The following is a 9,423-nucleotide window of genomic DNA, read 5'->3' as shown; positions in this document are numbered from 1 at the left end:
CTTTGATTCTATCTGAAATTACTCAACTCCAAATCCTACAGTAGGTTCCTTTTTTTTTTTTTTTTTTTTGAGATGGAGTTTTGCTCTTCTTGCCCAGGAGGCTTGGAGTGCAATGGCGCAATCTCGGCTCATGGCAACCTCCCCTTCCCGGGTTCAAGCAATTCTCCTGCCTCAGCCTCCCCAGTAGCTGGGATTACAGGCATGCGCCACCATGCCTGGCTAATTTTGTATTTTTAGTAAAGACGGGGTTTCTCCATGTTGGTCGGGCTGGTCTCGAACTCCCAACCTCAGATGATCCGCCTGCCTCTGCCTCCCAAAGTGCTGGGATTACAGGTGTGAGCCACCACGCCGGGCCAGTAGGTTCTTTCTAACACACTCATGTTTATTTTATGTTTAAATTTTAATCTATTTATTTATTTTGAGACCAGTATATGAGACTGGCTAATTTTGATGTTTTTGGTAGAGATGAGGTTTTACCATGCTGGCCAGGCTGGTCTCGAACTCCTGGGCTCAAGCCATCCGCCCGCCTCAGCCTCCCAAAGTGCTGGGATTACAGGCGTGAGGAACATTGGCAGAGGACCAAGGTTCAAGGGGATGGAGATTCTCTGATGGTTGCCAAGTTGCATCAGAGTACAGCCAGGGAGGTATAGGAGAGCTTGCTTTTTCTGAGAATTTTCTAGGAACTTGAGATTTTTAGGAATTTTGGGGGTGGAATCCCAATTGACTCAACTCTCAGAGAGGGAATGCTTTAGGTTCTCCACAGGGTGATTTTGTGTTGCCAACCTCCAGGCCTTGAGGAAGGGTTCGCATTGATTCAAAAGGCTAGGTGGACCTGACCTATATGCCCAGGCATTTTGAGTTTTAAGGACATTTTCTGGTCTTCCAAATATTCCAGCTGGTCCTCTGTGCTTTCTTGTTTCTTTTTTTTGAGACAGATTCTTGCTCTGTCACCCAGGCTGGAATGCAGTGGCACAATCCCCTCAGCTCACTGCAACCTCTGCCTCCCGGGTTCACGCCATCCTCCTGCCTCAGCCTCCCGAGTAGCTGGGATTACAGGCACAAGCCACCACGCCCGGCTAATTTTTGTACTTTTAGTAGAGATGGGCTTCGCCATGCTGGCCAGGCTGGTCCCAAACTCCTGACCTCAGGTGATCCGCCTGCCTTGGCCTCCCAACGTGCTGGGATTAGAGGCATGAGCCACCGCACCCTGCTAGGATGAGGCGTATGACGAGGGGCCCGGAGCTTCCATGCCCTCCCCGGATATGCCACCCTCCAGGTACGTCCGCATGCTTAGCTGTCAGGGATCTCTTCAAACCCTGTCCTCCTGGGTTTTGATGGATGCTTCCTTACCCAGACATGACTGATGAAACCACTGGCCAATGGTGATCAGCCTCACCCTCAGCTTCCTTCCCCTCCCAGAAGTTTGCCCTCTAATCCTACTGGGGTCTTTCCAGAGACCAGTCCCCATCCTGAAGCTATCGGTCAACATTAGCACACAAAATACAAAAAGATGGCACTTTGGAGACTCCATGGAACTCTGGAGCTGCTTTCCAGGAAACAGGCACGAAGACCAAACGCAAATGTCACAGTACCACACACACATCATTACAACATGTGACTTTTTGTATTTATCATCTCTCTCGACTTTGGTTAGATGAACAGGCAGGAGAGCCAGAATGGAAGCTTGGAGCGCAAACTTGGGATTCCAAAATGGGGTAGAGGCAGTATATATTAGGATCTCGGCAGCAGCCAAAATGGACTATTCTGTGGCCAATGAAGTCATTTGCAGGGACCTTGAGGTTGGGGTACAGGATGAGCTGGAATGAGGGGACTCGATGACCCGTGTACACCAGGCCGATCGGGTGAGCAGCGTTGGGCAATCTGGGTAGTGTGTCTGCATTTCTCAGGCCGACACTGGTGGAGACCCCACCCTCTGGTATTGGCGGTTGTGGAGTTTCTTGTTTTTGATGAATATGCTTGCATTTCGCTTTCTTGAGTTTTGCTCTGTGATTCTTGAACCAGACCTGAAGGGAAGAGAGAGAAGAGAATGGGGTGGAATTCAGATGACTTGTCATTCTATTTTTAAAAAATTTTTACTTTTTAATTTTTATTTTGTTAAACGTATTTTATTTATTTATATTCTTTTTTTTAACCTTTAAGTTTTTAACTTTTCTTTTTTTTTCCTTTTTTTGGCCCTTAAACTCTCCTAATATTTATTTATTTATTTATTTTTATTTTATTTTATTTTATTTTTGAGATGGAGTCTCACCTTGTCGCCCAGGCTGGAGTTCAGTGGCACCATCTCGGCTCACTGCAACCTCCGCCTCCCAGGTTCAAGCGATGCTTCTGCCTCAGCCTCCTGAGTAGCGGGGACTACAGGCTCACACCACTATGCCTGGCTAATTTTTGTATTTTTAGTACAGACAGGGTTTCACCATATTGGCCAGGCTGGTCTCGAACTCCTGACCTCATGATCCGCCCACCTCGGCCTCCCAAACTGCTGGGATTACAGGCATGAGCCACCATACCCAACCCAAGTTTTCCTTTTAGTTGATAATATGAGTACTTCTAGGTGAGAACAGCTAGTGCCACAGCTTGGCCACTTACATCCTCTTTGTGGAACCCTACTCAATCTACTCCCAGGAAGGAGCAGAAATGAGAGATTTTGGGGACAGAAATTGAGACAGGGGTCAGAAAACCCAGAGCAGGGGATAGGAGAGCAAGGGGATCAGTCGCAGGGGCTGCTCTGGGGCTCAGGCCAGCCAGCTAAGGCTGGTGGCCAAATCTGACCACCCCCTGTCTTTGTATCACCCATGCACTAAGAATAGGCTTTACGTTTTAAAATGGTTGAGAAAAAACAAACACAATAAGAGTACTATTTTGTGTTGTATGTGTGTTGGGACTGAAAGAAAAAAGAGAGAAAATAAAAGAATACTACTGGCCAGGCACAGTGGCTCATGCCTATAATCCCAGGACTCTGGGAGGCTGAGGTGGGTGGATCACTTGATTTCAGGAGTTTGAGTCCAGCCTGGGCAACATGACGAAACCCCATCTCTACAAAAAACACACAAATTGGCTGGGCCTGGTGGTACACACCAGTAGTATCAGCTGCTCGGGAGGCTGTAGTACCACACACCTGTAGTCCCACCTACTTGGGAATCTGAGTGGGAGGATGGCTTCAGCCCAGGAATTCAAAGCTGCAGTGAGCTATGATCGTGCCACTGCACTCCAATGTGGGCAAGAGCAACACCCTGTCTTAAAACAAAACAAAACAACACTATTTTGTAATGTGAAAATTGTATAAACTTCAGGCCAGGCGCAGTGGCTTATGCCTATAATCCTGACACTTTGGGAGGCCAAGGCAGGTGAATCACTTGAGACCAGGAGTTCAAGATCAGCCTCCTGGGCAATATAGCGAAACCCCATCTCTACAAAAAATAAAATACAGCCGGGCTCATGCTTGTAATCCCAACACTTTGGGAGGCGTAGTGTGCACCTGTAGACCTGTAGTCCCAGCTACTTGGGGTGCTGAGGTGGTAGGATTGCTTGAGCCCGGGAGGTCGAGGCTGCAGTGAGCTGTGATTGCACCACCGTGCTCCAACCTGAGTAAAAGAGTTTCTGGGAACACAGATGGGCCTCTTGTTTACGTTGTCTGTGGCTGCCTTCGCACTGTGGTGGCATAGTTAAAATAGTTGCTAGAGAGACGGTATGGCCCACAAAGCTTCAATTATTTACTACCTGGTCCTTTACTGGAAAAATTTTCCCATTCTTGCTCTAGGGGGTTGAAGAAAGGTTTACGGGGACGTGAGTAGGAGAGTGTGGGTTTGGGGAATATTGGCGATTGGAATGAGACCTCAGGAATTATCCTAGAGGGACTCTGAATTTAGATTAGATCAGGAAGGCAGTTTAGTGAGAAGAGGGATCATTTTCCAACCTGCAGTACTGTTGGGTGTATGTCTATTTTCGAGGCCATTTCTTTCTGAAGGCTGGGGTTTGGGTATGGGTTCTCATTGAACAAGATGTTCAGATCTTCCAGTTGCTTCTTAGTGAACATGGTTCGTTTCCTGTGTGAATGCATCTGGTCCTTGCCTTGAAAGAGGAGGAAAAAGACACAAATGGGAAATGCTAACAACTCCATTCTCAAAAGCCTGAGCTTTCCTTTCCTTTCCACTGAGGTACAACGTGATGATCAAGTGACTGAGGTTCTGTCACCGAGGCTGGAGTGCAGTGGCACAATCTCAGCTCACTGCAACCTCCACCTCCTGAGTTCAAGCGATTCTCCTGCCTCAGCCTCCCGAGTAGCTGGGATTACAGGCGCACGCCACCATGCCCGGATAATTTTTGTATTTCTAGCAGAGACAGGGTTTCACCATGTTGGCTAGGCTGGTCTCGAACTCCTGACCTCAGGTGATCCACCCGCCTCGGCCTCCCAAAGTGTTGGGATTACATGCGTGAGCCACTGTGCCCGGCCGTGACTGAGGTTCTTAGATATGGAGACACTGCTGGCCGGGGTCGTGCCTCAGGCTGCAGTCCCAGTACTGTGGGAGGCTGAAGCGGGAGGACAACTTGATCTGCCTTTTGTCCTTGTTTTTCCAAGCCTCATTTGTCATTTTCATAGGAAAAGGTTGTTCCTTTCCCCCTTGGTTCCTCCATCCTTTTTTTCTGTTATCATTTAAATATGGGATCCCTTGCTCACGCCTGTAATCCCAGCACTTTGGGAGGCCAGGGCGGGCAGATCATATCAGGTCATGAGTTTGAGACCAGCCTGGCCAGCATGGTGAAACCCCATCTCTATTAAAAACACAAAAATTTGGCCGGGCACAGTGGCTCATGCCTGTAATCCCAGCACTTTGGGAGGCCAAGGCGGGCGGATCATGAGGTCAAGAGATCAAGACCATTCTGGCTAACATGGTGAAACCCTGTCTCTACTAAAAGTACAAAAATTAGCTGGGCGTGATGGTGCACGCCTGTAGTCCCAGCTACTCGGGAGGCTGAGGCAGGAGAATCGCTTGAACCTCAGAGGCAGAGGCTGTGGTGAGCCGAGATTATGCCACTGCACTCCAGCCTGAGACAGAGGGAGACCCTGTCTCAAGAAAATAATAAATAAATAAATAAATAAATACGTAAATAAGGGATCGCTTGTGCCTTACCTCTTGGGTTCTATTTTCTTTGTGTAGAAATAGGCAACTCAATCCAAGGTGAAATGGATGGACATGGTTTTATTCTTATCATTTATTCAATGTTCATTAAGTATATTCTTTTAGGAATATAGCAAGGAAATAAGCAGAAAAATAACATCACTGCTGTCACGGATGTCACCTTTTACTTTCTTTTTCTTGAGACAGTGTACTGCTGTGTTGCCCAGTGGCATGATCACAGCTCACTTCAGCCTCAACCTCCCCAGGCTCAAGCGATCCTCTCACCTCAGCCTCCCGAGTAGCTGGAACTACACAACACTGACATGCCCGGCTAATTTTTGTATTTTTTGTAGAGACAACGTCTTGTTTTGTTGCCCAGGCTGGTCTTGAACTCCTGGGCTGAAGCGATCTGCCCACCTCGGCCTCCCAAAGTGCTGGGATTACAGGCATGAGCCACCGCATGCCTCGCTCTAAAAGATCTGAATCGCATCATGCCTGAAAATGGTTTGGCAGCAGCTCCAGAGTCTAGTAAGTGCTCATGAACATGAGATTTCCAGCTTGGCTAAGCCTATATTCTATCTAGGACCTAATCATCCTCATAGGAATCAGATTCCCCTGTGCTCAAGAACAAGCATCGGGGTGGGAAGAATTAGGACACAACTACGAGGGAGAAGATTTCGGATTTGAAGGCAGAAACAGGCTTCCCTGCATTTGCCTGTGCTGTCAGATGACAGCCGCGGCCGGGCACCGAGGCTCATGCCTGTAATCCCAGCACTTTGGGAGGCCGAGGCCAGCCAATCACATGAGGTCAGGGGCTTGAGACCAACCTAGCTAACATGGTGAAACCCCATCTCTATAAAGATACAAAACTTGGGCCGGGTGCAGTGGCTCACGCCTGTCACCCCAGCACTTTGGGAGGCTGAGCCAGACGGATCACAAGGTCAGGAGTTCGAGACCAGCCTGGTCAATATGGTGAAACCCCCGGCTCTACTAAAAATACAAAAAAAAAAAAAATTAGCCAGGTGTGGTGGCGTGTGCCTGTCATCCCAGCTACTCGGGAGGCTGAGGCAGGAGAATTGCTTGAACCTGGGAGGTGGAGGTTGCAGTGAGCCGAAATCGTGCCACTGCACTCCAGCCTGAGCGACAGAGTGAGACTGTCTCAAAAGACAAACAAAACAAAACAAAACAACAACAACAAAAACGATGACAGCCTCTGTGGGAAGTCCCTGCCACCCACGTGGACGAAGCACCAGCTTCGGCCGCCTGGTCCCTCTGCCTTTTCCCGCCGCCAGCTGCTTTCCACTTCTTCACGTGTCTTTGCTTCGGTTCTCATTTTTTCTGGCTTACCTTTACGAAGATCCTCTGAGCCTGGCATCTTCTAATCCAGATGTGCGCCTGGGTTCAGGTCCAGGGATAAGAACTAGCAAAGATCAAATCCGGATTTAAGTAGCTTCCTCCACAGCCACACCCGACTCCCACCTCCTCCACCTTTCTCTGCCCTATCTGCCTCCAATATGATCCCTCGGTCCTCCAGAGCCCCCTGGATTTCTCCCAATACTGTCATTTTATCTAATATTGATTGAGCGGAGACCAACGACTCAAAGGCGAGTCCACAAACCAGCCCCACTAACACTCCTGGGAGTTGTTAAAATGCAGAATCCTGGCCCACTCCAGACTTCCTGAGCAGAAGCTGCAATTTCTTTTCTTTTTTTCTTTTTCTTTGAGACAGAGTCCCACTCTGTCACCCAGGCTGGAGCGCAATGACACCATCTTGGCTCACTGCAGCCTCTGCCTCCCAGGTTCAAGGGATTCTCATGTCTCAGCCTCCCGAGTAGCTGAGATCACAGGCCTGTGCCACCACTCCTGACTAATTTTTGTATTTTTAGTAGAGACGGAGTTTCCGCCATGTTGGCCAGGCTGGTCTTGAACTCCTGCCCTCAACGTTTCTGACTCGGTCTGGGGTGGGATCTGATGATTTCCATATCTAACAAGCACCCAGGTGACCAGGCTCCGTAATGGGGACCGGGAATGTGATTGTGAATAATGAAGTCCAGGTTTAAACCCTAAAGGGGCTTTCAGGCAACTTATATATTCTTTAGTGGCTAATATATGCTTGGCATTGTTCTGCATATCCTGATTTAGTTAACTCACTCAGAAATCATCTCATTTTATTTATTTATTTATTTATTTAGAGATGGAGTCTCACTCTGTCACCCAGGCTGGAGTGCAGTGGCACGATCTCGGCTCACAGCAACCTCCGCCTCTCAGGTTCAAGCAATTCTCCTGCCTCAGCCTTCCCAGTAGCTGGGATTACAGGCACCCACCACCAAGCCTGGCTAATTACAGGTGGCTCACACCTGTAATCCCAGCACTTTGGGAGGCTGAGGCAGGCGGATCACCTGAGGTCAGGAGTTCGAGACCAGCCTGGCCAACATGGCGAAACCCCATCTCTACTAAAAATACGAAAATTAGCTGGGTGTGGTGGTGGGCACCTGTAATCCCAGCTACTCAGGAGGCTGAGGCAGGAGAATTGCTTGAACCCAGGAGGCAGAGGTTGCAGTGAGCTGAGATCGCACCACTGCACTCCAGCCTGGGTGACAGGAGTGAGACTCCATCTCAAAAAAATAAAAGAAAAAGCTGCAACACCTTTCAGATGCCCAGGCTCACACCATGTATACCTTTTATCTTGACGACAAGGGCAGTTTGACTTCAGGTTCACAGAAGTGGCAGTTTTTCTTGCCATTCCATCCATTTGAATCTCAGTTCTGCACATCTCTACTTGTGACAGTGGTTAGCCTTTGCATAAATGAGCTTGTAGCTACTTTTTTTTTTCTTTTTGAGACAGGGTCTTGCTATGTCTCAAAAAACACAGCTGACTGCAGCCTCGACCTACTGGGCTCAAGTGATCCTCCTACATTTGCCCCCAAGTAGCTGTGACTACAAAGGCCTAGGCCCAGCCTGGAGTGCAGTGGCAAAATCATAGCTCAATGCAGCCTTAACCTCCTGGGCCTAGGTGAGCCTCTCACCTAAGCCTCCTGAGTAACTGGGACTACAGGTGCACACTACCATACCCAGCTAATTTTTGCATTTTTTGTAGAGAAGGGATTTTGGCTAGGCTAGTCTCAAAGTCTTAGGCACAAGCCATCCTCCCACCTCAGCCTCCCAAAGTGCTGGGATTAGTAAGAGGCAGTCTGTGTTGCTCAGGCTGGAGGGCAATTCACAAGCTGATTCCACTACTGATCAGCATGAAAGTTTTTTTTTTTTTTTTTGAGATGGAGTCTCACTCTGTCGCCCAGGTTAGAGTGCAGTGGCGTGATCCCGGCTCACTGCAACCTCTGCCTCCTGGGTTCAAGCAACTCTCCTGCCTCAGCCTCCCAAATAGCTGGGATTATAGGCACATGCCACCATGCCCAGCTAATTTTTTTTTTTGTATTTTTAGTAGAGACAGGGTTTCACCATGTTGGCCAGACTGGTCTCAAACTCCTGACCTCAGGTGATCCATCTGCCTTGGCCTCCCAAAGTGCTGGGATTACATGTGTGAGCCACTGTGCCCAGCCAGCATGAAAATTTTGACCTGCTCCATTTTCAACCTAGACCATTTCCCCACTTCTTAGGCAACCTGGTGGGAGGTCACCATATTGATGCCGAACTTAGTGTGGATGCCCAATTGGCAGAGCACATTACAGCCTAGAACTCCTGGGTTCAAGCCATCCTCCCGCCTCAGCCTCCCAAAGTGCTGGGATTACAGGTGTGAGCCACTGCACCCGGCCTGATGAACAGTATATCTTTAGAGGTGAATAAGACATACCAAGCAACAATTTTAAACCACATTTTTATCTTGTGATAGTGTCAGAAACCAATTTAAAAAGAGCCTGTAATCTGCCGTCTGTTTCTCTGGATTTATCTTTTCCAGGTATTTCATTAAAAAAAAAAAATCATAGGCCGGACACAGTGGCTCACACCTGTAATCCCAGCAGTTTGGGAGGCCAAGAAGGGAGGATCGCTTGAGCCCAGGAGACCAGCTTTTCAAAAACTAAAATAAAATTACATTATATAATATGTAACCTTTTGTGTGCTGGCTTCTTTTACTGAGCATGTTGTTTTCAAGGTTTATCCTCATGGTATAATGTGTCGGTATCTCATTCCTCTTTTTTTTTTTTTTTTTTGAGACAGAGTCTTGCTCTGTTGCCCAGGCTGGAGTGCAGTGGCAGGATCTCAGCTCACTGCAACTTCTCTGCCTCCTAAATTCAAGTGATTCTCATGCCTCAGTCTCCTGAGTAGGTGG

At 48.2% G+C, this 9,423-nt stretch overlaps 1 protein-coding gene and 1 pseudogene across 4 annotated transcripts in view, besides 1 other annotated feature; both read right to left on the bottom strand.

The window, feature by feature from the left end:
- Positions 1,146-1,646: an enhancer, noted in NCBI's record as "H3K4me1 hESC enhancer chr19:54140228-54140728 (GRCh37/hg19 assembly coordinates)". NCBI's record gives its function as "activates a minimal SCP1, AML or CMV promoter by ChIP-STARR-seq in naive H9 embryonic stem cells {active_cell/tissue: H9 hESC(naive)}" and the evidence as "EXISTENCE:reporter gene assay evidence [ECO:0000049][PMID:30033119]".
- The window catches only part of DPRX (divergent-paired related homeobox), a 35,901-nt gene continuing 28,083 nt past the window's right edge, over positions 1,606-9,423 (bottom strand). For 3 of the 4 annotated variants that reach the window (XM_047438893.1, XM_011527011.4, XM_011527012.3), the window contains exons 2-4: positions 6,486-6,558; positions 3,935-4,089; positions 1,606-2,024 (exon numbers count right to left, since the gene is read on the bottom strand). In XM_047438893.1, the coding sequence (XP_047294849.1) occupies positions 1,632-2,024; positions 3,935-4,089; positions 6,486-6,513 (576 nt within the window). In that variant the 5' untranslated portion in view covers positions 6,514-6,558 and the 3' untranslated portion in view covers positions 1,606-1,631. Of the gene's footprint in view, positions 2,025-3,934; positions 4,090-6,485; positions 6,622-9,423 lie in introns of those variants that run through there. The other variant, NM_001012728.2, reaches the window with a different exon arrangement.
- On the bottom strand, positions 8,579-8,907 carry RN7SL317P (RNA, 7SL, cytoplasmic 317, pseudogene; annotated as a pseudogene).

Source organism: Homo sapiens, chromosome 19 (genome assembly GCF_000001405.40).
Source record: "Homo sapiens chromosome 19, GRCh38.p14 Primary Assembly".
Lineage (NCBI taxonomy): Eukaryota > Metazoa > Chordata > Mammalia > Primates > Hominidae > Homo > Homo sapiens.
This window is presented reverse-complemented; position numbering and strand designations above follow the sequence as displayed.